Source organism: Homo sapiens, chromosome 10 (assembly GCF_000001405.40).
Source record: "Homo sapiens chromosome 10, GRCh38.p14 Primary Assembly".
Lineage (NCBI taxonomy): Eukaryota > Metazoa > Chordata > Mammalia > Primates > Hominidae > Homo > Homo sapiens.
Genome location: NC_000010.11, coordinates 12152504 through 12179855, shown reverse-complemented (window position 1 = coordinate 12179855; position 27352 = coordinate 12152504). Strand labels below are relative to the sequence as shown.

At 43.3% G+C, this 27352-nt stretch overlaps 2 protein-coding genes across 8 annotated transcripts in view; one reads left to right on the top strand and one right to left on the bottom strand.

Moving 5' to 3' along the window:
- The window catches only part of NUDT5 (nudix hydrolase 5), a 30562-nt gene extending 16036 nt beyond the window's left edge, over nt 1–14526 (top strand). For 2 of the 3 annotated variants that reach the window (NM_014142.4, NM_001321648.2), the window contains 7 exons: nt 724–773; nt 1956–2063; nt 6043–6138; nt 6990–7091; nt 8948–8956; nt 9086–9139; nt 12045–14526. In NM_014142.4, the coding sequence (NP_054861.2) occupies nt 724–773; nt 1956–2063; nt 6043–6138; nt 6990–7091; nt 8948–8956; nt 9086–9139; nt 12045–12154 (529 nt within the window). In that variant the 3' untranslated portion in view covers nt 12155–14526. The remainder of the gene's footprint in view (nt 1–723; nt 774–1955; nt 2064–6042; nt 6139–6989; nt 7092–8947; nt 8957–9085; nt 9140–12044) is intronic. The other variant, NM_001321647.2, reaches the window with a different exon arrangement.
- The window catches only part of SEC61A2 (SEC61 translocon subunit alpha 2), a 40318-nt gene continuing 22863 nt past the window's right edge, over nt 9898–27352 (bottom strand). For 2 of the 5 annotated variants that reach the window (NR_024577.3, NR_024576.3), the window contains 7 exons: nt 23925–24078; nt 22789–22949; nt 21751–21948; nt 18735–18926; nt 17567–17643; nt 11963–12103; nt 9898–10598 (listed from right to left, as the gene is read on the bottom strand). Coding sequence is in view for 3 of the 5 variants with exons in the window: in NM_018144.4 (NP_060614.2) it covers nt 15402–15588; nt 17567–17643; nt 18735–18926; nt 21751–21948; nt 22789–22949; nt 23925–24078 (969 nt within the window). In the remaining 2 variants the exon portion in view is untranslated. Of the gene's footprint in view, nt 10599–11962; nt 12104–14448; nt 15589–17566; nt 17644–18734; nt 18927–21750; nt 21949–22788; nt 22950–23924; nt 24079–27352 lie in introns of those variants that run through there. The other 3 variants (NM_001142627.3, NM_018144.4, NM_001142628.1) reach the window with 3 other exon arrangements.

Genomic DNA, 27352 nt, shown 5'->3' with positions numbered 1-27352 from the left:
GTTTCCTGTACAACTGTGCCCCATGTTCCAAGGCCAGAAAGTAGAATAGCACAGATGTTACCCAAAAGCTGAGTTGGGTAACAGTCAGAAACCAATAGCTAACCAGGAATAAAGCCATACAAGAGAGCAGGACTGTGCTGTTACTCAGCCCACTTTTTCTAGATAAGATCTCACACATGCAAAGTAGGGGCACTTGCCTACATTTAATAATTCTTCCATTAATAAATGGGAAGGTTCTACCTTCTTAAATTGTGTGTTTTAGGTCACATATTTTAAAAATCAAAATGATATGAAAATCTCAATAGTTCACGTTGTCCATAGTAGCTTTTGTTCCTAGAGACGGGGTGAGTCTTTTCCTATGGCTTCATTTGCATTACCTGCTTATTAATCTGTCACTGGCTGTGCTCCTTGCCCAGAGACATAGGATCCAAACTAAAGTTTTCTGAGAAAGCGGCAGCTCACATGCTTAGCAGGCTTTCTGTTTCGGGGGCACCCAGAAGGTGAGGTGTAGGGTGGCAAGAGTTTTCGTTGTTAATTTTCAGAAGCTATAGGAAAGCAGAATTAGCTTCTTTAATGCAGACGTTTATTGCTGTGGTCTTCTTGACCAGTATCATGAGTACATTTGCATGCATTGCATTTAAGAAGTTCTGGTTGTACAGAGAAAACCTAAGAAAATTCTCTTCTGTAGCACTAATGACTTTTTTTTCTTCTCTGCCTGAACAGAACTTGGGAATCAGTGAAACGTACAACCAGGAAAGAGCAGACTGCGGATGGTAGGAGTGCAAACCTATTCCAACCCTTTAGAAAGGAAGTTAGCACTTGTGATCGTAAGAGGGTTTTCAATGGAACCAAGTTAACTTCTATTAGGATGTTGTGTCTTTAAATCTCCGCTTAGGTTTTGCCATACTATGTAACGAAATTAAGCTTTCTTTATAAGTAACTTCTGGCTTCTGTTATCTAAGCCCAAAACATTGTTTTTGAGGGGAAGTTGTTCTAATGTTTATAACTAAATGTAAATCAATATAGTTTGAAGCCACACCTGTGTCTAGACGTGTTATGACTTCTAGAAGTCCTTGTGTCCTGTTGGAAGGATCTAGATGAGAGGCTTTAGTTTGGAAAGTTACTTGGCACACCTTCATGCTTATGGACCACTTGCTTTACAGGTTGATGAGGACACGGAATTAATTGGGCAAAGCCTATTCCATTCACCCTCCCCTCCAGGCATGAATGCCTTGACTGCAAAGAGCCTACAAACAATCCTGAGAATCACTCTGGTCGAGGGGAAGTTGGGCACTAGGCTTTTCTTATTTTTCCATTTAGTTTTGGTTTCCATTTTTGCTGGAAGCAAACAGTAGCTATGCTGCTGCTGCTGGCTTCACAGATAGGAAGCTGTGGGGAGCCAGGGGACCCTCCTGGGTGCTTTGTGTTTTCTGAAACCCAGTCGTTTTTGTTTTTCTTAGGTTTTAATGAAGGCCAAGTAACTTGAGAGGAAAGGTCTTTTACCCTAAAACTGGAAAATCAGTCTTGCTAGCATTTATTGCAGACAGTGGAACTTACTTGATTTCTTGCTCAAAGTTGACCCAGGAGCACAGGGATGGCTGTGGCCTCACCAGTGGTAGGGCTGCCACACGCTGGAAAGTGGTTCTGTGGAAGGTCAGTGTAGTCAGAAACCTTACATCCTTGACCCTGTAGGAAATGTTTCGTTTTATTCCGATTTTAGTTTAAGAAACTGTGACAATTAAACAGCCTTTTTGTTTAAAAAAGAAAGTGTAAACAACATGGAAGTGATGATTTTTAATTACATTTTTAAAATAGCTTCCAATATTAACTGCCAGTATTGTAGATTAAAACGGAGTTTCTTAAAGTCTGGGGTTTTCATTAGCTTGCTCTAAACAATGTGCTGGCATTGCTGACCTCTCATTAGGGATTTCCTTGGTTCCATTTCCTGGTGACAGGTGTCGCGGTCATCCCCGTGCTGCAGAGAACACTTCACTATGAGTGTATCGTTCTGGTGAAACAGTTCCGACCACCAATGGGGGGCTACTGCATAGAGTTCCCTGCAGGTGAGTCACTCAACATCGAATTGCTTCTTAGGGATGTTGGCCTGAACCAGGGTAAAGCCTGAGAACTGCAAAGCTCAGCTCTGCAGTTTTTAATCTGTCCTTGTGGTTTTAAGTAAAACTAAACCATTTCGTAGCGAGGCTCCTCCAGGCCCCCAGGACACCCCAACAACCCTCTGAACCCGTGAAGGCGACACAAGGCCACCTCCCACCCATCCCAACCTCCTCTTGGCAATGCTGCCTCCAGCCTTTTTTGTTTGTTTTTGTTTTGTTTTGTGAGACGGAGTCTCGCTCTATCACCCAGGCTGGAGTGCAGTGGCACGATCTCGGCTCACTGCAACCTCCGCCTCCTGGGTTCAAGCAATTCTCCTGCTTCAGCCTCCCGAGTGGCTGGGACTACAGGCGCCCGCCACCACGCCCGGCTAATTTTTTGTATTTTTAGTAGAGACAGGGTTTCACCGTGTTGGCCAGGATGGTCTCGATCTCCTGACCTTGTGATCTGCCTGCCTTGGCCTCGCAAAGTGCTGGGATTACAGGCGTGAGCCCTTGCACCCTGCCGTCTCCAGCCTTTTGAGTAATTGCCCTTCCCCTTCTCAGCTTATTTGATTGTTTGTCATTAGCCATCTGCTAATGGAAATTTCCAATGATAAGTAGGCCAGGCTTTTTTTTTTTTTGAGATGGAGTCTCATTCTGTCACCCAGGCTGGAGTGCGGTGGCGTGATCTCGGCTCACTGCAACCTCCGCCTCCTGGGTTCAAGCGATTCTCCTGCCTCAGCCTCCTGAGTAGCTGGGATTACAGGCGTGTGTCACCACACGTGGCTAATATTTGTATTTTTTGTAGAGACAGGGTTTCACTGTGTTGCCCAGGCTGATCTCAAACTCCTGACCTCAGGTGATCCACCCACTTTGGCCCCCCAAAGTGTTGGAATTACAGGTGTGAGCCACCACGCCCAGCCTAGGCCAGGCTCTTAACTCCAAGAAATGTGAATGGAGAAGACGGTTTGCTCTGCTGTGCGGAAACAGGCCAAGGAGACTCTTCATTTCAACTAGAATATTTTTCTTGCACAGTAATTAAAGCTCTCCAAAATTTATTGCCCTATATTATTGTAGGACTTTATTGGATTGTTCCCATCTAAAGAGATTAAATCTCATCTATTTGTTATTAGTGGTATACGTTTTATTATTATTATTTGAGACGGAGTCCTGCTCTGTTGCCCAGGCTGGAGTGCAGTGGCACGATCTCAGCTCACTGCAGCCTCCACCTCCCGGGTTCAAGTGATTCTCCTGCCTCAGCTTCCTGAGTAGCTGGGATTATAGGCATGAGCCACCACACCCGGCTAATTTTTGTATTTTTAGTAGAGATGGGCTCTCACCATGTTCACCAGATTGGTCTCGAACTCCTGACCTCAGGTGATCCACCCACCTTGGCCTCTCAAAGTGCTGGGATTACAGGCCTAAACTACCACACCCAGCCAAAGTTTTATATTTTAAAAGGCTAGCTGCTGGTAACACATGGTTAACAACTATGATTTTTCTCATTTCCTCACCATTTTACTGAAGGCTATTTAATTACCTTTTTTTTTATTTTTTTATTTTTTGAAATAGAGTTTTGCTCTTGTTGCCCAGGCTGGAGTGCAATGGCAGGATCTCAGCTCACTGCAACCTCCGCCTCCCGGGTTCAAGTGATTCTCCTGCCTCAGCCTCCTGAGTAGCTGGGATTACAGGCATGTGCCACCACACCCGGCTAATTTTGTATTCTCAGTAGAGACGGGGTTTCTCCATGTTGGTCAGGCTGGTCTCGGCCTCCCAAAGTGCTGGGATTACAGGCGTGAGCCACCACGCCTGGCCAGGCTATTTAATTACTTTTAATATTAACGTGAATAAATTCTTCTCTCACTTTTTCTTTTTTCTTTGAGATGGGGTCTCTGTTGCTGAGGCTGGTGTGCTCCGGCACCATCACAGCCCATTGCAGCCTCAACCTCCCCAGGCTGAGGTGATCCTCCCACCTCATTTTTTGTATTTTTTTGTAGAGATGGGGTTTTGCCATGTTGCCCAGGCTGATCTCTAACTCCTTGGCTCAAGTGATCTGCCCGCCTTAGCTTCCCAAAGTGCTAAGATTACAGGTGTGAGCCGCCATGCCCGGGCTCTTTTTTTGAGACTATGTCTAGCTCTGTTGCCCATGTTGGAGTGCAGTGGCACAATCACAGCTCACTGCAGCCTTGACCTTCTGGGCTCAAGTGATCCTCCTGCCTTGGCTTCCTGGGTAGCTGGGTCTGCAGGCGTGCATCACCGCATTCGATTTTTAAATTTTTTGTAGAGATGGGGTTTTGCTTTGTCACCCAGGCTGGCCCCAAACTCCTGGCCTCAAGTGATCCTCCTGCCTCAGCCTCCCAAAGTGTTGGGATTACAGGCGTGAGCCACCACACCCAGCCTGAGTTTTTCATTATTTTATTTTATTTTATTTATTTATTTTTTGAGATGCAGTTTCACTTTTGTTGCCCAAGCTAGAGTGCAGTGGCACGATTTCAGCTCACTGCAACCTCCGCCTAACAGGGTCAAGCGATTCTCCTGCCTCAGCCTCCCGCGTAGCTGGAATACAGGTGCGTACCACCACACCTGGCTAATTTTTTGTATTTTTAGTGGAGACAGGGTTTCACCATGTTGGCCAGGCTGGTCTCGAACCCCTGACCTCAGGTGATCTGCCCGCCTCGGCCTCCCAAAGTGCTGGGGTTACAGGTGTGGGCCGCCACGCCCAGCCTTATTATATTTTTTAATTCCTTTCAGGAAAAAGAGTCTGCGTTGCTGCTCCCTTCCTCTTCCTTGGCCTCTCTGTTCACTCCTCACAGTGGCCATGGGAGTCCCCTAATGGCCACCAGTTTGCTCCTTTCTGGCCTTTCATTCCCAGGCCTCGGTGTTTTACTATGAGGGAGGAAGACAAGACAGGTGATGCTGTCAGCATCCTACGTGTGAGGAAGCAGAATATGAGCAGGCTTCCTGTGCTGCAGCCACACAGCAAGCTCCCAAGCCTAAGCCAGTTGGTCACCACCAAGTCACATCTCCTCACAGATGCTGCCCGTGCTGTGCAGAGCAGCGTGGAGATGGTCGTGAAGGCTCATGATGGATCTGGGTCTGAATAGGACGACTGGATGATGCCTTCAGAACCTGATTCATCTGCTCAGAGTTTTATTCTTTCGCCTTTTTGTTTCTATAAAAATTCCAAGCTGGGCACAGTGGCTCATGCCTGTAATCCCAGCACTTTGGGAGGCTGAGGCGGGTGAATCACTTGAGGCCAGGAGTTCGAAAGCAGCCTGGCCAACATGGTGAGACTAAATACAAATTAGCCTCTACTACAAATACAAAAATTAGCCGAGCATGGTGGTGTGTACCTGTGGTCCCAGATACTCAGGAGGCTGAGGCAGGAGAATCGTTTAAACCCAGGAGGCAGAGGTTGCAGTGAGCCAAGATCACACCACTGCACTCCAGCCTGGGCAACAGTGTGAGACTCCCATCTTCAAAAAAAAAAAAAAAAAGAGTTCCAATCCTCAGGTTTCTCTGTAAGACCACTTTTCACAGTGCTCCGATTCTCCTAACGTAGTGCAGCAGCAGGTGTGTTACAAGAATGAGGGGTTCAGCCGGGCGCAGTGGCTCACACCTGTAATCCCAGCACTTTGGGAGGCTGACGTGGGTGGATCATGAGATCAAGAATTCAAGACCAGCCTGGCTAAGATGGTGAAACCCCATCTCTACTAAAAATACAAAAAATTAGCTGGGCGTGGTGGCACGCGCCTGTAATCCCAGCTACTCTGGAGGCTGAAGCAGAGAATTGCTTAAACCTGGACGGGCGGAGGTTGCAGTGGGCCGAGATCGCACCACTGCACTCCAGCCTGGGCGACAGAGTGAGACTCCATCTCAAAAAAAAAAAAAGGAGGGTTTAAAGAACCGGATTTCCCGCTCCCATCACACCAATGATTTGGACTTGCAGGTCTCATAGATGATGGTGAAACCCCAGAAGCAGCTGCTCTCCGGGAGCTTGAAGAAGAAACTGGCTACAAAGGGGACATTGCCGAATGTTCTCCAGGTTGGTATTGCTTGAAAATTCACCAAGTGATGGATTCCTCCGTCTGGGAAGGGATTGATTATTTGGGTGTTCTTTACGCTCAGAATTCACTGAAGAGAAAGAAATCACAGATTAGGACTGGTCACCAAGTGTAAGGGAATCTCCCCTCCCAGGAGGAAACTGGAGCCAGAAGGGCCTGAAGTTGGGGGAGAATTAATGAAATTAAATTGCCTTTTGGCTGGATGTGGTGGCTCATGCCTGTAATCCCAGCACTTTGGGAGGCCGAGGCAGGTGGATCACCTGAGGTCAGGAGTTCGAGACCAGCCTGACCAACATGGTGAAACCCATCTCTACTAAAAATACAAAAATTAGCCGGGTGGCGCACACCTGTGATCCCAGCTACTCGGGAGGCTGAGGCAGGAGAATTGAACCCAGGAGGCAGAGGTTGCAGTGAGCCAAGATCACGCCAGTGCACTCCATCCTGGGCAATAAGAGCAAAGTGAAACTCTGTCTCAAAAAATCAATTGCCTTTAGGAATTTCCTACCCCCTGAGTTTTATTGCTCACCCATCTCATGCATGTGCTACCCTCATCACTGGAAGATTTTTTTGAGTTTGATGTGGTGAAGGGATTTTATGACTTGACAGTACCATCTAACCCCGCAGACCTAGCAAGCTTGACTCGAGAGCTCTGGGGAGAGTGTGAGTGCCCAGATGCTTTGCAGCCTGCAGATCTGCCTACCAAATGTGAGAACTAGTTTTCCCGCATCACCTCCACGTCAATGCTGAGCTGCGGGACGCATCTTCTTCCTAAGACCATAGTGAAACAAATGCCAAAGGGACTGACGCATCTGACTGTCCCTTCTCTCCACAGCGGTCTGTATGGACCCAGGCTTGTCAAACTGTACTATACACATCGTGACAGTCACCATTAACGGAGATGATGCCGAAAACGCAAGGCCGAAGCCAAAGCCAGGTATGTGTGTGTCGGCTGTGATGAAGGTGGTGTGGTTGCATTACGTGTCTTGGAACTTGCTGCTAGTTTGATTTATTAAAAGAATGTAGTCTTTCATGGAAAGAATCGGTCTTTCAAATAGACTTCATCAGTATTCTTGTCTCTCTTCCTAATCATGTATTTTAGCATTTTTCTTTTGCCACTTCATTCATCTTTACGCTTTCTTTGTAAAAAAATGTTAAATGACATATTTCCCTGTTTTCTATATGAAGTGTATTCCCACTTAGTAATATGAGCTGCAGGCTTAAGTAGTAAACAGTGAGAAACTTAAATCACCCTGGTTTCTGTCTTCATGTATATTTTAAGAATGGCCTAAGTTCCCCTGTAGTCCCAGCTGCTCTGGAAGGTGAGGCAGGAGGATCACTTAAGCCCAGGAGTTGGAGGAGCTATGATGGTGCCACTCTGTGACAGAATGAGACCATGTCTCTCTTAAAAAAAAAAAAATGGCCTAAGTAATTGTTAACGGGCAGCAGATTATTCACTATTTCTCTTTGCTCTATAATATTTCTTAGCAACTTTGGATTCAAAAGCTGTGATGTCTCTGTCAATTCCGTGTTGTCTCTCCCATCCTTTTAAAGGGGGTATTTATATGTGCACCACAGTAAATCAGTATCAGTGATATTCTTTAACTTCTTACCCTCTTCAGTTGTTCATATTTATGTTTCAGTATCCCACTGCAACTAATTTTAAGTCTTATTTTTTGCCGGGCGTGGTGGCTCATGCCTGTAATCCCAGCACTTTGGAAGGTTGAGGTGGGTGGATCACTTGAGGTCAGGAGCTCGAGATCAGCCTGGCCAACATGGTGAAACCCTGACTCTACTAAAAATACAAAAATTAGCCAGGCATGGTGGTGCGCACCTGTAATCCCAGCTACTCGGGAAGCTGAGACACAAGAATCACTTGAACCCAGGAGGCGGAGGTTGCAGTGAGTCAAGATCACACCACTGCACTCCAGCCCGGGCAACAGACTGAGACCCTGTCTCCAAAAAATAAATAAATAAATAAATAAATAAATAAATAAATAAATAAATAAATAAAATAAATCTTAATTTTTGAACTGCACATATACATATGAGACACTGTGGAAAAGTTTGGCAGTTCCTCAGCATATTAGATACAGAATTATTATATGATCTGGCATTTCATCTCCTAAGTCTACACCCAGAAGAAGTGAAACAGGGACTCATATACTTGCGTGCCTGTGTTCATGGCCGCCTCTGTGGAAACAACCCAGGTGTCTGCCAGCAGATGAATGCATCCACAAAGTGTGGTATACACACAAACACACATACACGCTGAAACATGCGATAACATGATGGGCAAATACTCTGATTCTACGTATCTGGGTGCCCAGAATAGACAAACTGATAGAGGAAGACAGTAGAGTAAGCGCTACTAGGGATGGGGAATTAGTGTTGAGTGGATCCCGAGTTTCTGTTGGGTGTCATGAAAAGTTCTGGAGATGGATACTGGTGGTGGTTGTGCACCTTTTTGAATGTTATTTAATGCTACTGAATTGTACCTTCATAGTGGTTAAAAGGTAAGTTTTTATATGTTCTGTATATTTTACATAATACGCAGATTCATATCTATAAAAATATACATACTATCGAATATGCTTTAAATTTTGCTACTTAACATTATGTGGAGAACAATAACTTCATACTGCTCGAGTTTGACAATGTATATAAATTAAGTTAGCAGAAACCCAGGCTTCTGTGAAATTCTCAAAGCCTTTTTGACGCCTCTTGTATAAAAGTCTTCCGATGTTACCACTCCAGGCCTTGCTGAAATGTTTTCCTTCTGTTTATTTCCAGGGGATGGAGGTATGTTCTGCAACTCCTGGTGGCCGAGCGTGTATGACTTAGTGTAGTGGTGATGGCTGCAGACATTTTGGGTTGTTTTGGTAGGCTCTTGACGTTAGCTTTGTTTTCACTTGCACTTTGTCTGTTTAGAGTTTGTGGAAGTCATTTCTTTACCCAAGAATGACCTGCTGCAGAGACTTGATGGTAAGCATTCTCCAGACCGCCACCCAGTTTCTCCAGTTCTCCCCGTCCCCATCCCAGCAAACTGGGTACTAAATATAACTCCATTTCTTTATCTTTTTTGTATCACTAAAGTCAAATGCCTAGCAACTTGTAAAACTGCAGGTGACCACTACTAATTTTCCTTTCTGGGTGGCACAGAGTTTGAAAATAAGAGCAAAGCATTCTGGGTCAAGTGCAAACTTTTGGTAGAGGCTTTTTCTCCTACAGAATGGCCCAGATGACATTCCTGCTGAGTAGCCAAAACGATTCTACACTTTAAACCTTCAGTCCATAGCAATGCAAAGGTGTGGGTAGATAAGCTGTTAGCTTTTCCTCAAGTATGCTAGTATGAGGGATGGTCCTTTGTGGAGGCTGTATGTTCAAGGAGAAATTGATGATGCTCCTTCAACAAATACTTGAGGTATTTCCTGTATACTCCGTGTGATATGCTTTTCACATAATAAACCAAACCAGCTGTGTGGCCCTTAGAAATCACTGGTCATGTAGATGCATTGTATAATTCTTGGCCACCCATCTTTTAGAGACTTTGTAAACAGTAAGCTTATGGGGAGAAAAGTCCTTTGATAAAACCACGAGAGGAGATACTGTATGGAGACATGAGGAGATACTGTGTGGAGACGAGGAGATACTGTATGGAGACATACCATGGGCCCTTCAAGGAGCACCTCTGTATGGGCTGGCAAATCCCTTTCACTCATCTAGAAAGAAGCAGACACTTGTCATCATGGGAATATTTTATTGGGTATAAGTGTTTTAGGTAATTGATAACTGATTTTTCTACTGTTTTTAAGTGATTACTTCAAATGTGATTTGAAGCATTGTTTGGCCTGAAGCTTTAAGACCAGTTTCTTAAGCTTTTCCCTGAGTTTCAGCAGCTTACGGTTTCAGTGAATAAGCAGAGCGCCTGGTTTTGAATTGTCTGTTGTTTGTTTGAAAATCTGAATGTGTCTTTCAAAGGCTGCTGTGATTTCTTTGGATAAAATCAGATTTCGTATCCCTTAGAGAGCTTCCACTCCTGCTTCACCTTTCCAAAAACTAGACCTAAGGTAGAAGCCACCTCGACAGCTCAAAGCCAGAGTTAGAACAATCATACTGAATAGATACAATAGTTTATCTGGTGCGTATTTGGAGAAAGGCATGACAATCAATACGAGGCAGCGCAGCTCGGAGTCACAGGCCCGACTCGGTTTGAGGCTCCGCGGACCATAATTAGCTATCACATCAAACAGGTTCTGTAGCCTCTCTCGGCTTTTTTCATAAAACAGGAACAATAACAGCCCCTCCCTCTGAGGAGGTGCGTGGAAAGCAGGGTGACGTAGGCAAGTGTGAAATGCCGTGCGGGGTTATCTTTTAGTAGAAGAGTATCCTTTTTGTAAAATGTCTTCCTTCTCCCTTCCACCTTCTTAACTTCACTTTTGGTCTTAGAAAAGGGAGAAAAAAATAGAATAAGTGAGGGGAGGTGGAGAGAGGGCTACTATGGCTATAAAGGAGGAGGGGTAAAAGAACCAAGTTGCCTAGCTTTAGCAGAATCAAAATACAGTAATCAAACCGTTTATTCAACCAGCAACATTTGAGAAGTCGGAAGGAAAGTATTACATTTTAAGATCAGTTTGCTGGCCGGGTGCGGTGGCTCACGCCTGTAATCCCAGCACTTTGGGAGGCCGAGGTAGGCTGATCACTTGAGGTCAGGAGCTCCAGACCAGCCTGGCCAACATAGTAAAACCCCATCTCTACTAAAAATACAAAAATTAGCCAGGCATGGTGGTACATGCCGGTAGTCCCAGCTACTCAGGAGGCTGGGGCAGGAGAATCGCTTGAACCCGGGAGGCGCAGGTTGCAGTGAGCCAAGATCGTGGCACTGCACTGCAGCCTGGCGACAAAGTGAGACTCCATCTCAAAAACATAAAAAAAAAATTAAAAAAAGATCAGTTTGCTACAAAGAGTAGCATCTGCCAGTTACCAAGCACCTGCTGTGCCCAGGTGAGTAGGACATGCTTCCTGCCTGCAAATGTCCCCAGGCTTGTTCCCAAACAAGCGGCTAGGAAAACAAGAGGCTGATTTTACATCTGGCAACCTCCATCTGAGTGAAACAAATTTTAATGAAAGCCTGTGGTAATAAGGTCCTGAGACCGCATTCTTGGTAGTAGATCTCCAGTCCTAACATGCACACAGTTTAACTTGCCGGGGGAACATATGTATCCCCTAGCAGCAGAAAAGATGGAATCCCTAAGATCCTACATAATCATCACCATCTGGTTTCAGAAAAGCAAAGCCCTACCCCAGCTATAAATGAGGTATAGCGATTGGCTCTATACACTTCCAACTTTGCTGTTTTCACACATAAAATCATCCCTGGCTGGGTGCGGTAGCTCACGCCTGTAATCCCAGCACTTTGGGAGGCTGAGGCGGGTGGATCACGAGGTCAGGAGATCGAAACCATCCTGGCCAACATGGCAAAAACCCCGTCTCTACTAAAAATACAAAAATTAGCTGGGCGTGGTGGCGTGCGCCTATAGTCCCAGCTACTGGGGAGGCTGAGGCAGGAGAATCGCTTAAACCCAGGAGGCAGAGGTTGCAGTGAGCCGAGATCACGCCATTGCCCTCTAGCTTGGGCAACAGAGCGAGACTGTCTCACCAAAAAAAAAAAAAATCATTATCCCTGATGTTCTTGTCTCATGCTAGGAATGTAATCTTGCCTTTATAGTCTTTATTCTTTAAGATCCTTATAGACCAAAAAAAACGTTATCACCAGCATCTAGCATAGGAAGTGACATATAGTAGTACCTGCTGCGCAAACACTGATTGAATAAGATGTTTTGTCCTTCCTTAACGGCATGATCTAAGTTGTTTTCTTTGCTTTCCACAGCTCTGGTAGCTGAAGAACATCTCACAGTGGACGCCAGGGTCTATTCCTACGCTCTAGCACTGAAACATGCAAATGCAAAGCCATTTGAAGTGCCCTTCTTGAAATTTTAAGCCCAAATATGACACTGGCCATTTTTGTAAACGAGACCACCAGGCCTTCTTCACTAAGACTTTGTATTCAACTTAGTTTAATGTAGATTTGCCATTAGCTTTTTCGTAAAATAAAAGCACAGAACAGATGTGGTGGTGGTATGGAATTGTAATTACAGGTAGGTTGTGACCTTCCTTTAAATTTGTTATAACTCCAGCTAAAATTAACAAAGAATATAAATGCAAGTATGTTTACTCCAATTTTTTTAAAGCTCAACAGCAGTTAACTACAGCTCAGTTACTTTTCTAGTCCAGTCTGGTAGACAGGGGTATTTGTATAGAGAAATAGACCTGAGTTCTCAATTAGGTCATTTCCACTCTCAACCCCCAATATAAAATTCTAAGCTGGGTATGCAAATAACCATGTACTCCGTTAGTGTTTAAAACAGCGTTAAAAAGAAAAAAAAGGCTTTTTGGCCTCTTCTAATTGAATTTTTACTATGCAAAATTTATCTAGGGTAGTTGAATCCAACTAGGGTAGGGTTCGATAGAATCCTCTACTAGTTTTCAGTTCATCTATTTACTGAGGCTGAACCAGCTTTTAAGTAAGGAAAACGGTTGACTCCATTCACTACACCAAGGCTAGGAGACTAATGAAAATTCAGGTCCATCCCGCAAGCATCTGCACGTGCTTGAGGATCTCTTTTCCTATTCTTACCTCAAAGAGTACTTGAAGTTTCTGAAAACAAATCTGTAAGACTGACATGTTTGGGGCAGTAATATCTTGATGTTAAACCATGAACAGAACCAGCAAGATCAGCCAGTACCTGAAACCCAATACAGAGTAGTTCACAGCAAGAAGTACAGATTGATCTGGTTCCCATGCCTGAAACCCTGTCATCTAGCAGTTCTACCAGTGTTCCTGGGCCATTTTCTTAGCTTCTTGAGTGAGTTTAGCTCTTTTTGTGTTGACTTTTAGGGCCTCCAGCAGCTCCATGATTTTCCAGGACTTTCCAGTCTGGCCCCCACGGAATTCTCAGGATGATTCTCATCCAGCCCTAAGTCATGTTTCTAGCCTGGCTCCAGCGGGTAAGCCAGGCCCTGAGAACCATATGAAAGGGCTCTCCAGATAAAATCAGAGTGCTAATGCCAGAATGCTGCAGTAGCCTCCGTTTGTCCACAGGCTCACTGTCTGAGCCCAGGATATTTTTATGAGTGAAACTGTAAGATCTTTACACTGGACTTCCTAAAGATAAAACAATTATGGAAATACAGAACTTTACAGATGAAGCTGTCTAGCCCTATACATGTGAAAATTAAGATCCAACTACTTCCTGTAATGGTAGCCTTCCCCTATGCCTCTAACCCTTTTTTAAATCCTGATTTCAATCACAGGCATTGTGATTCTCCAAAGCTCTAACTCTTCCTTAGGTCTGAAAGCCACATGCTATCAATCATTGAAATCAAGAGAGAAGGCATCCGTAGACGGGCGCAGCCCAGTCTTTCCACATAGCCCAGTTCCTCCCCAGCCACTCCCCATGGGAATGACCTCTGCAGCTGACCTAAGCTTATCCTCTCCTTCTTCCTAAGAGTGCAACTTAGAAGTCAGAGCCAAATCCTAGAATGTATCCCTAAATGCCATTTCTATTTTTTATAAACATGAAAAGGTTGTGCTTTGGAAATTCAGTCTGTTTGAGAACTGGCAGTCTGGCTGGCACTGTTTAAAAATGTTTATTTGCCCTGCATTTAAAAACTGAAGGTTTCCTATGTATTAAAAGCCATATTTCCACCTTCTTAAGGGAAAAAAAAATCGGACGTCATAACACTGGGTGGATGTTTTTATGGTAACAGTGGTCTGAGGCCCTTGGCGGATGCTCACCGAGCCACTGTCACTATCCTGCCTGCCTTTATCTGCCTTGCCCTGCGATTATTTGGCTTTGTAAGCATAAGCTACGTAAGACATACCACACCTAAGAAACTAAACAGCAATGAAAACCCATACTTCTGAAAAGGGTGTCTTTTAAAAATTAAGTTTGATCTTTTGGGAAATAAAGCACATAGTTTTCAAAATGATTTACCAAGATCTATGCTCTTTCAAATGGAGACTGGGATATTGTTGTTTTGAGACCACTGTTTTCCTGTTTCCTCCCAAATGTTAGTCACATATATGATTACCCTTAAGTTGGTCACTATCTATCTATCTGTCAATAATTTAGGATTAAAGTTTGAAGTGTAATTACATTTGACTTTTACAGGCATCTCAGGGTGGACTTCTTATGAATACACTGAACCTATACAAATGATCTTAGAAAACGTTTAATATCAGATTTCTTTATTTTTTCCAACACAACTGAATCAGTTTTCTTAAATAAAAGTTTATTGTCTACTGTTTACACTCATGTTGCTGCTGTGAGTACAACAACAGACACAAATTCCTAGCATGAATATATTCATTGTTCACCCCCACTGAACTACAGACATTGCTTGAGAATTAGATCTTTGCTTTAGGGATTTAAACAGAAAAGAATCGGGGCCCAGAATCTTGAAAGAATATTCTCAAGTGACTGGTTGGAGTTAGAAGGCATAGCCAATACAGGCAAACAGCACGATGATGCTGTCACTGGGAAGAGAGGAGGAGGAGAAGGAAAAGGAGGAAGAGGAAGAGGAGGAGGAGAAGGAGGAGGCCTTAGAAGCAGTTGTGGCAGAAATAACTGGAGACTTGATTTCGCCCATGTGGGCTAAGTGGCTGCTTTGAGAAGGGACAAATAAAAATGAGGTGGGGGTGGGGAGTGGGGATACCATGAGTTAAAAAAGTATAAAAAGTAATTATCTAAAATATAGATTAGATATAAATGTTCCAGAACTCATTAAATAAGCTCAAAAATACTGGAAAGTGGCAATTTGAACTACATTTATTTTTCAACAAGTGGGGGCAATATGAAGTGTTTTGAATGTTGTGTGCAAAACGAATCCATCTCACCGTCTCACTGTCATGATTTAACACAGCAAGGTAGATACACTGGTTTCCAGCATTACAGGCAACACTAGATGTACTTTTTTTAATGAATAATGTAAACTTGAGTTTTAAGGCAGCGGGTACTAATGCTGCACACAGACTTAGCTCGGTGCCCATTTCAGAAACGGGTCAGTCAGCACTCGAAACAAGAAACTGTGAGGGGAGAAAAGGGGAGCCACCAGTGTCATCTGACAAAAACGATCCGTCAAAGTGTTTTCCCTTTCACACGCACAAAATGAAATATTTGAACATTTAGAAAAACAAAGCACCCATCCCACCAACTTCGGCCTGTTCTTTAACAAATATTTCAAAATACTGGTAAATAATAGTGACTGCTAGCAGAATTCCAGTGCCAGATCCAATGGCCCCCAGGAAGTCAGCCAGCACTGACAGGGCGCCAATGCACAAACCGCCAAACGCAGCTGCGGTGGGGATGTACCTAGGAGACAGAACCCCAAGTTAGGCGGCAGCAGAGACCAGGAACAGCACGGCAGCTAGAGACGAAGACAGGTCGAGGCGCAGCAGCCATAGCTGGGTCTAAAGCCTCCCTGAACTCCAGAGGGAACAGGCTGCAGTGTGGAGGGGTGTGCAGGGCACGGCATGGGAACAGGAGCTCTGATCCAGGCAAAGACTCTGACCCTAATTTCCAGGAACCAGTCAACAGCCAAGAAAGACAATATGTAATCTTACAGGACATGAGATTCCTGGACAGATTTAAATATTAAAATGTTTAAGATTTTTAAATGAGTAACCTTTCGTTCCCTCTTGTGGAATGAAGAGTAGGTATGAACAAATTTATGTCATAAGATTTTGAGGATCCATTTCAGTAATTCAACCTTTGGCTGCACATTAGAATCACCTGGAAAACTGAAAAATGGGATTTAAAATACTCAAAAAAGATTAGAGGCAGTGATAGGTGAAACAAGAACAGCAAGATGGTGACAACTGGAGCTGGAGATCCATCATACTACTCTGCAGTCTGTGTTCTAAATAAATAAAAAGTTTAAGGAAAAATACTAGTGCCTTTTCAACAAATGATGCTGGGACAACAGGATGCCCCCAAGCAAAAGAAGGAATCTGGATCCCACCAGGCATGGTGGCTCATGCCTGTAATCCCAACACTTTGGGAGGCCAAGGCGGGTGGATGATTAGATCAGAAGTTCAAGACGAGCCTGGCCAACATGGGGAAACCCATCTCTACTAAAAATACAAAAATTAGCCGGGCATGGTGGTGCGTGCCTGTAATCCCTGCTACTAGGGAGGCTGAGACAGGAGAATCGCTTGATCCCAGGAGGTCGAGGTTGCAGTGAGCCAAGACGGTGCCACTGCACTCCAGCCTGGGTGACAAAGTGAGGCCCCATCTCAGATAAAAAAAAAAAAAAAAAAAAAAAAAAGCTAGCTGGCCGTGGTGGCACACACCTGTGGTCCCAAGCTACTCTGGAGGTTGAGGCGGGGAGGATCGCTTGAGCCCAAGAGGCTGCGGTGAGCTGTGATTGTGCCCCACTTCGCATCCATCAGGATGGCTGAAATTAAAAAGCCAGAGCTAGTGCTGGCGAGGACAGGCAGCAGTGGAACCTCATACACTGCTGGTGGGAATGTGGACTACAGCAGCCAACCTGGAAGACAGCTGAGCAGCACAAAATTTGTACAAATATGTTCACAACAGCATTATTCATAAAAAGTGGAAACAACCCAGATTTCTATCAACTGATAAAGTGTGGTAAAGCCCTACAATTGAATATTATTCATGAAAAGAATTAAGGATATGAACTGTGAAAACATGATGCCAAGTGAAAGAAGCCACTTACAAAATAACATACATTATATGATTCCATTTATATGAAATGTACAGAATAGGCAAATCTGTAGAGACAAAGTTAAAAGTGGCTGTCTGGGGCTGGTGGTTGGGAAGGTGGGCTAGTAGGTACAGGGTTTCTTTCTGGGTGGTGAAAATGTGTTTAAACTTATGACTGTACAAGTCTGAATATACTAAAAAACACTGAACAATATACTTCAAGTGAGTGAATTACATGGTATCTGAATTTTATCTCAATAAAGCTGTTACCAAAAAATAAAACCCTGATGCCTGGAACTCACCCCAGACCAAATAAGCCACAGTTCCTGGGAAATCCTTTTTAAAAGCTCTCTGGTGATTGTATGTGCAGCCAGCCAATGCTGAGAACAGCACTGATCTGCAAGATTTTATCACTGGGATGAGCAGAGCAGTGCTCACAATTTCAATGAAAAATTCAGGTGTTGGTTTTGACATGGAAAACAAGTTTTGTGTGAAATTTTGATTCATCTGTGTGAATAGAAGGGTTTTAAATATGAACTTGAACAAAGAAAAACATTTAGCCAACACTGAAAGACTGAAACACAAACACAGGCCTATAAAGGTGTCAGTCTAGCAGCCTTACCTATTAAGCTCATGAACCATAGAGGTATCTCGGTGGCCCCTCATTACCATCTGCTGTTCTTTCAGCTGTTTAGCTACCTGCCGAGAGAAAAACGACTTTCAAAATCCAACTGGAACATTTCACTGCTTACATCTACCACGTTCTATGCGAAGTGCTCGCCACACACTAACACGTAACATACAATAACCTGAAAGTTGCATTGTCATATCATTCGCATTAAGCCTGAGGAAACCAAAGCTTCAGTGCTCCTCCGCTCCATGTTACCCATATGAAACCGGTGCTTCTCAACCCTTCTTCAATTACCAAACAAGATTTTGTTTTGCAGGAGGGTTGCAAACCACTGTAATATCTAAGAATTTTTTACCTTTTGGGAACCAATTTTTAGCCTGTTGGGGTGACACTGACTCATTAAAAATGTATAAATTAAAGCTTAAGTTATAAAGGAGTGTATCCACTACTGTTTTGACAATTAAATATGAATTTTCCAAAAACAAAGTTTTATTTTACTTTTTTAAAAATTTTTTATTTATCTATTTATTTATTTATTTTGGAGACGGAGTCTAGCTCTGTCGCCAGGCTGGAGTTCAGTGGCACGATCTCAGCTCACTGCAACCTCCGACTCCCAGGTTCAAGCGATTCTCCTGCCTCAGCCTCCTGAGTGGCTGGGATTACAGGCATGCGCTGCCACGCCCAGCTAATTTTTGTATTTTTAGTAGAGAAAGGGTTTTACCATGCTGACCAGGATGGTCTCGATCTCCTACCCATGGGATCTGCCCACCTCGGCCTCCCGAAGTGCTGGGATTACAGGCGTGAACCACTGCGCCTGGCCTTTTTTATTTTTTTGAGACAGGATCTCGCTCTGTCACCCAGGCTGGAGTGCAGTGGTGCAATCTTGGCTCACTGCAACCTCCACCTCCCGGACTCAAGCGTTACTGCTCCGTCTCAACTTCCCAAGTAGCTGGGACCACGGGCTTGCACCACCGTGCCCGGCCGATTTTTATTTGTATTTTTTTAGTCATGACGGGGTCTCGCTATGTTGCCCAGGCTGGTCTCAAAACTCCTGAGGTGAAGCGATCCAGCGGCCTCAGCCTGCCAAAGTGCTACGATTACAGATGTGCGCCACCATGCATTGCCAAGAGTTTTATTTTAAAATAAACCAAACACTTACATCTTTGGCTGAGGAACCAGACACTTCAATCCATGTCTTAGAGAAGAATGCACATGACCCCAACATGAAGATGATATAAACAACGACATGGACAGGATCCTCAAAGATGGCGCCCATGGACTCAGGAGGAGAAAGATAGTAACAAAGGCCTCCAACTGGGTAAGAACGTGCGGGTCCTCCCCCACTGACATCCTACAGAACAGGAGTACAAAGAACAAGTGGTCAACCTAATTAGTCAGGAATACATTTGCATGTCACTTCAAACTTCTCAGAAATGACAGTGTTTTAAGTTCAAGGCATCTACAGCTAGTCATTCTATGTAGTTTCAGAATGTACTTTTGTGTCTACTACCTTCACTCCTTCAAAGTTATACGATGAACACCTATTACATGCAAGACACTGTGAAAATATTGAGTCATTTTTAAAAATTGTAATATATTACAAAATCTTCCATTACTGAAAATAGGAATATGATTACATTTACAATCAACCTCTGATTATACTTAAAATCTGAAATTTTCTGAGCTATGAGAGTATCCAGTCAGTACATTAAGATCCCTATGAATGATCCTTCCATATGAAAATATTAATGCAATCAACTAAAATACTGACATAAGACTTTAACTTGCTGCCTAGACTTTATGTGGTTTCTATGTTATAAGGAGCAATCTTTTAATAAATATAATAATTGGATTTTTATCTATATACTTAAATCTTACAGAAATAGGAACAGCATTATTTGCTCATATTAAATAAAGTTTTGGGGTATACAGATAGGGGGTGAGAAACCAATTTTTAGTTGCGATGATTACAGTATCTGGTTCTTGAATTTATGACTGCCCAATGATTTCTTTACTGTGCCCCTAGAATCATTAATCCCAGATCAAAAGCACTATCTCCCAATCATTCTCTCATTCAGAAGAATCTTACTCAAAATCATAACACAAATTGTACAGGACCAACTACTCAAAGCACTATCACTATGACATTCTGATCAGAGTAATAGCTGCTGCTGGACTATTCTAAGGAGGGCAGAAACAGCATTCTTCTTATTCCTGTCTCTTGACTTTCCTGTCCTCGATATAATATTAGCCAGAATACAACAGAGATCATCACATTTCTCTTAAATGAATGGGAAAGAAGTATTATGAATAAAGGGAATCCTATTCCCTTCAACTAATATATGAGTTACTGTCTTATTATCTTAAAAAAACCTTTTTTTTAAATGACATTCAGTAAAAGCAGAAAGGTATGAGTCTTTGTAACTTATAATGCAAAAAAAAAGCATATTAAGACAAATGCACAGAATAAACACCATATTTCAAGAATAACTGTACAGAAAAATACTATTCTTTGGTGGGGTGCAAATTCTAGAATTACCTACTGTGGCAAAGAATAAAGGACATTAGTCTTTTAAAATTCTATTATTTTTGAGACACGGTCTCACTCTGTCAACCAGGCTGGCATGCAGTGGTATGATCACAGCTCACTGTACCTTCAAACTCCTGGGCTCAAGCAATCCTCCCAACTCAGCCTCCCAAGTAGCTAGGACTACAGGCACGTAACACTGTGCCCGGCTAGTTTTTAAGTTTTTTTGTAGAGATGGGGTCTCGCTATGTTGCCCAGACAGGTCTCCAACTCCTGGCCTTCAAGCTATCCTCTCTCCTTGTTCTCCCAAAGTGCTGGGATTACAGATGAGAGCCAACACGCCTGGCTAAAATCTATAATTTTAAGAGGGAAAATACCCCTTTGTTAGGTGACAGAATTTAAACCAATGAAAATTCAGTCCCACAGTAACTCACGCTTCAATAACAGCGTGGCTAGATGGCTTTAGAAAAAATTATGGGCCGAGTGTGGTGGCTCACGCCTGTAATCCCAGCAATTTGGGAGGCTGAGTCGGGCAGATCACAAGGTCAGGAGATCGAGACCATCCTGGCTAACACAGTTAAACCCCGTCTCTACTAAAAATACAAAAAATTAGCTGGGCGTGGTGGCGGGCGCCTGTAGTCCCAGCTACTTGGGAGGCTGAGGCAGGAGAATGGCATGAACCCGGGAGGCGGAGCTTGCAGTGAGCCGAGATCGTACCACTGCACTCCAGCCTGGGCGACACAGCGAGACTCCGTCTCAAAAAAAAAAAAAAGAAAAAAAAATTATGATGGGGGATGTATATGAGAATGTATAGGATTATATTACTAGCAGCACCGCTGTCTCTACCGTCTAGTTAATAGCATGCCTATCTCTAGCCCAGCTCATCACAAGCTGGCTTATTGCCATTCAGACCATGAAAAATGGAGGAGGCCTGGAGGCAGGGTGGGAGATAGGAAAGGTTAGGATGAGTCCAGTATCTCACATGTTAGCAGCAGCAAATAGCATTTTTTGTTTTTATTTTTTGGAGACGGAGTCTCGTTCTGTCGCCCAGGCTGGAGTGCAGTGGCGTGATCTCAGCTCACAGCAACCTCCATCTCCTGGGTTCCAGCAATTCTCCTGACTTGACCTCCTGAATGGTTGGGACTACAAGCACCTGCCACCACACCTGGCTAATTTTTGTATTTTTAGTGGAGACGGGGTTTCACCATGTGGCCAGGCTGGTCTCGAACTCCTGACCTCAGGTGATCCACCCACCTCAGCCTCCCAAAGTCCTGGGATTACAGGAGTGAGCCACCGCACCCAGCCAGCAAATAGCATCTTTTAGAAAGCATTATTGTAGACAATACTGGAATAAGATGACAAAATAGGAAATTACTTTTATGAAATCAACCACAATTTTAGCTTAAAAGGTCATTCAAATGAGATGTGAAAGTGCTTCCTAGAGAGCAAAATAATAAAAAGCGCTTGGGCAATCTTACTTCTGCAACACTTACCAGTTCTTCCAGATAAGTACTAAACTCTGCTATATAGGTAAGTGAATCTGAAAATACAGCAAATGCTCCAATGTCGACCTCATTCCATTAAAAATACAACCATGAAATGCAAATTATAATAAACTATAAATAATGTAAATAAACATAATACTCACGGCCCACTGTCCTAGTAAATTTACTAAAAAGTTGCCACTAAATCGAACAGACAGCATCTGGGAAATAACATACAGGTTGGACACCAGGGCCGACTGGAGGATGATGGGGATGTTGGAGGTGTAGAAGAGTTTGATGGGGTAGCTGCTGTACTGTCCTCGGTAACGGGCCGACTTAATGGGCAGATCAACGCGAAATCCCTAAAAAAGGAAACGGAGAGTAAGTGGGGGAGCCAGACACATTAAGAAAAGAACAGAGACCAGAGAGGGAAAACAAAGAACAGTGCGGGGGATGAAAAGACAATGCCGGCCGGGCACAGGGGCTCAGGCCTGTAATCCCAACACTTTGGGAGGCCGAGGCGGGCAGATCACGAGGTCAGGAGATCGAGACCATCCTGGCCAACGTGGTGAAATCTCATCTCTACTAAAATACAAAAAATTAGCTGGGTGTGGTGATATGCACCTGTAGTCCCAGCTACTCAGGAGGCTGAGACAGGAGAATCGCTTGAACCCAGGAGGCGGAGGTTGCAGTTAGCCGGGATTGCGCCATTGCACTCCAGCCTGGCGACAGAGCAAGACTCCATCTCAAAAAAAAAAAAAAAAAAATTAGCCGGGCGTGGTGGCACGTGCCTGTCATCTCAGCTACTCAGGAAGCTGAGGCAGGAGAATCACTTGAACTCGGGAAGAGGAGGTTAGAGTGAGCTAAGATCGCGCCACTGCACTCCAGCCTGGGCAACAAGAGCAAAACTCCGTCTCAGGAAAAAAAAAGAAAAGAAAAGACAATGCTAACAAAGACGTTCTGCCTTTTAAACTGTCGAGAGTCTGCTTCCTGCTGATGGGTCAAAACAAAAAACAAAAAAAGTACAGAGACTCCAATATTTCACACCTTAAAATCAGAGTCTGGAGACTCTAATTGCAAAATTTTATTTCCCTTGATCTTAAACCCTGACTTGTTAAACAACAGCATGTCAGATGGCATTCTCTTTAAGAGCAAAATAAAAATCTACATCCCACTTACTTTGGTGAAAAGGTTATACTTACTTGGAAATATATAACAACAGCAAACACAAAAACTGTAGCAATGAGGTTCATGAGATTGGGTAAGTTCTGCCGATAAAAAGCCTCCCGTAAAGCTCGGACTTTGTCCGTCCTGGTGGCCAACAAATGGAACAGAGCTATGACTGCACCCTCAAACTCAGTACCTGTAAAATCAAGACAGACACGACCTGTGGACTCATCGTCCAAAGCTGTCCCAAAGCTCAAACAACTAACCGTGAAAGTCCAGTATACAGCAGAAAATATGGGTCAAAAGAATTCGCCAATGTTTGCTTTATGATATAGCCATGTGAGCAGGTTCTACAAATATTTAGATCATTGAGGCAAATCTATGTTTTTATAGCATAAATCCGAAGTTTTCTCAAGAGACTATTCTTGAAGAAAACATACAACGTAAAATTTACCAAAGCAAAATTTCATTCATAGAGATTTGCCTCTCCTCTACTTCAGGGAAGGGAGAGAGTGTTTTTAGGAAAAATAAACAGCAGCGAAGCAGAGCAGAGATGTCAGAATAAGAGACAGATGTCACTCTATCGAGCCTGCCTCGAAGTTTACCGCACCAAGAACATTAATCATCATTACAGTTTTCTTAAGGCTGGGATCAGAGTTTAGGTATTAACCACTTAGGACAGTATCTGTTAGAAGTGGAGATGAGGAAGGGGAAAGAGAGAATGAAATATTTCAAAACTTTGGTGCTATTACAAAGCCAATTAGAAGAGCAGCAGAGTAGGAGTGCTCCAGGTGGATTCAATGAACAACAGTCTTTTCATTTGAAAAATCTAAAATCCACTACCTTTTTATCCCCCTACGGATGCTGAAATCAGTCAAATAAATGACTTCTGCAGCAATGCCTTAAGCAAGGTTAACAAAAGAAATTTTGAAAATCTGTTTGCAACCACTGAAATTTTAAATAAGCAGAGGCTAAAATTTTGATACTATTCTCTCTGAGGTAGTATTGCTTACTCCACAAATCTCTGCTCATTAAGTTTTGAAGAATTCGCATTCCTTATCCCCTAGGAGAGCAAACCAGAACGGCTCTAGGCATGTACTGCGACACGATGGGTTTGTTCCCAGCACACATCCAGCAAAACGCGTGCAGTTGCAGTCGCTGTGCGATGTACCTCTGCCAGTGTTAATGGTAGTGGGACTAAAGGCCTTCCAGACAATGGTCTCACAGATGTTGGTGGCAATAAAGAGGGAAATCCCAGACCCCAAGCCGTAACCCTTCTGTAGCAGCTCATCTAACAGCAGCACAATCAAACCAGCAACAAACAACTGTGGGGAAAGAAATGCAAGTAAGCGGAAGCAAGAACAAACTCAAGAAAGGGGGAGAGGAACACCATTGGCTATTTCCAAGCTAGGGGCGTTTTGAATATTAAGGCCTGATCGTTGCAATCTCACTGTGATGACCAACTGCATCTTTTGGCCTGCTTTCATTTACTCAGGCCAATCTAGAACAGTAAGAGGACTGGAAATACTGTTGTATTATAAAGCAGACATTTCAACTTTTAAAGTCTATTTACACTTATCTGAATAGTTTCTTTTGCAATGTTTAAATAAAGCCTGTTTGAAAAGCACACTGAAACAAAAAATGATCACAGTATTCTAGAATTTATGACAGCAAGAAACTGAAAACATCCCAAATACCTCCAAGGAAGTAAAAAGTCAGATGAATTCTGGTATAATAGCAAGATGGAAATGTACACTGCCATCAAAGGATAAGTCTAAGGGCTGTGTTGATCCTTTGAAAAAAGCATTATATATATTATATATATGTATACTCTATAAAATGTGTACAGAATAAAAAACTAGAACACAAATATGTACTCAAATACGTACTCGAGCAGCAATGTAAAAATGCATTCTATACACATAGTGACAAAGATTGAATGTAAATTTGAAGACGGTTAAGGTTAAGCTCATATTGTTTTTAAAAATGAAAGCATACTGACTTTAATTTATGGGATATTGAAAATTCTGAACTTGCTTCTTGGAGAAGACATTCCTGTAAAAGTATGCATTAATTAAAAACAGTCCCTAGCCCTTCAAGTGACCTCCTCAGTCATATGACCCCTTCCCTGCACTCAAATAACCTAATCAAGACAGGAAGAAAATATGCTTCCATGCCCCCAACCTCACACATGTCCCCACTTTAAAGACACCCTCCGGCAGAAGTGAGGAAGTCACTTCCATTCCTCCCAGCTCTCAAGCCGCCCACCCTCATTTTGTACTCACTTTATCCAATATCACCTGCTGGAAGAGCGACCAAAGTAACCACATGAGACCATTTTAGGCATGCTTACCTTACACAGTGTTGTTTTTCTCCTTAACTGCCATTTCAGTAGTTGGACAGAGCCTAACTTGTCTATTTACAGGCTTTTAGTCTGAGTTTCAATGGGCAGGAGAAAGGGTACGATTCTCCAAACTTCTAAGAGAGATCATGCTAATCCTTTACTGCTTGAAAACCAAGTTCGACATTTTGACAAAATAATGTAGAGGTTAGGACTTACTACCGATTCTATTTAACCACAATCATGTAATTAGTGAACAGAGACTCCCCATCATAGAGAAACCCATCCTATGCAGGAGGCAACAGCCGTCCATGAACATCAGCCACAGAAAGCATCGTGATGGGCCTTGAGAAATGACCTCTCCAGAGTCCCACAGCAGCTCTGAAACAACTCTAATTCTCCACACCCCCTGTTCAGAACAGTGACCATCGGACTACAGAGTGGTTCACATATGTCCTGTGAAAATTAAACTTGGGTTTTTCCAAAGGGAGGAAGAAATTATACAGAAATGAGAAACGGTTTCTATAATTAAGGGAATAAAAGCCAGTAAATATCATGCATGCCTGTGAAAAGGGATGAGAACCCAGGAAGTGACAGCAGCGTCTACAGTGATGGGACCAGAACCCTAACTGCTACATGTTCACGGGGAATGGACGACATGTATGATGAGCCGGTATAAACATGGCACTTAACATTTTAACCCTGCACGACACCTACACACAACTTAGTTTTGTCAAACTATCTTTTGTTCAGTATGTCAAAACATACTTACCTTTATTATGTGCCATGCACACTGATATTCTCTAATAGTTTTTTAAAATTTTTAGTCAAGACCTGCTATGTAGATTTCTAAACTCACTAGCTGAAAAACACTAACCACGTGAATGAAACATAAACAAATAAGGTGAGAAATACCTTCCACAACGGCATGCAAACAGTTTTCAAAACCTATGTTTCTGGGTGAAACACACTGATCCAATCATAGCTCTTCAGTGTATCCACATATTTTCAATGTTAGTAACGCCTTGAAAAGACACCAATGGGTCACTGCCCACCTACAATCAAACATGACACCCCTCTTTATATATTAACATTAGAAGAATTAGCCATAACACGCATATTTGTGTATCAGAATTCATGTAAATGAATCAGTGTACATCCACTTCACTTGTTTCATTCTTGGACTGTAAGTATTTCTGATTTCTGAATACTGAAAATGAACAGCAAAATAGCTTAACTCTATTTTATATCAATTTCAATCCATAACTGACTCTGTAAGAAGTCAATCCTGTAGCTAGCTGGCTGAGAATCGCTCAGTGGAGATTCCTTAGGAATCTGAATAGATCCTTAAGTAAGATACTAGAGAGCTTTTCTTGATGTATAATGTTCTACGAGCTACATGCCAGTTCTAAGTGTCTTCTAAAAATCAAGATTATTCTAAACTCTGGATTGCAGAAAGAAAATGCTGTAAAGAAACAAAACTGAAGGCAACAATTGGCCTGTCCATAACCTCAACAATGCCTAAAGCATACGAAGAGAAACCCTAAGCCCTGAAAGATACTAAAATCAGACTCCAGAATATCATCTCTCCCCATCCAATGCGCCTCTTTCCCTAATTCCCAAGGGCTGTAAATTTGCCAATCAAGTGATTTGTAAATGGACAAATAAAGACAAAGACAAAGTTAATCTTTTTTTTTTTTTTTGAGACAGAGTCTCACTCTGTCGCCCAGGCTGGAGTGCAGTGGTGTGACCTCGGCTCACTGCAAACTCCGACTCCAGAGTTCAAGCGATTCTCCTGCCTCAGCCTCCTTAGTAGCTGGGATTACAGGCACACACCGCCACGCCTGGCTAATTTTTGTCGTTTTATTTTGTTTTAGTTTTTGAGACGGAGTCCCGCTCTGTCGCCAGGCTGGAGTGCAGTGGTGCAATCTCAGCTCACTGCAACCTCCGCCTCCTGGGTTCGGCCTCAGCCTCCCAAATAGCTGGGACTACAGGCTCCTGCCACCACGCCCTGCTAATTTTTGTATTTTTGGTAGAGACAGCGTTTCACCATGTTGGCCAGGATGGTCTCGATCTCCTGACCTCGTGATCCGCCCGCCTCAGCCTCCCAAAGTGCTGGGATTACAGGTGTGAGCCACTGCACCCGGCCAATTTTTGTGTTTTTAGTAGAGACAGGGTTTCACCATGTTGCCCAGACTGGTCTCAAACTCCTGACCTCAAGTGAACTGCCCATCTCGGCCTCTCAAAGTGCTGGAATT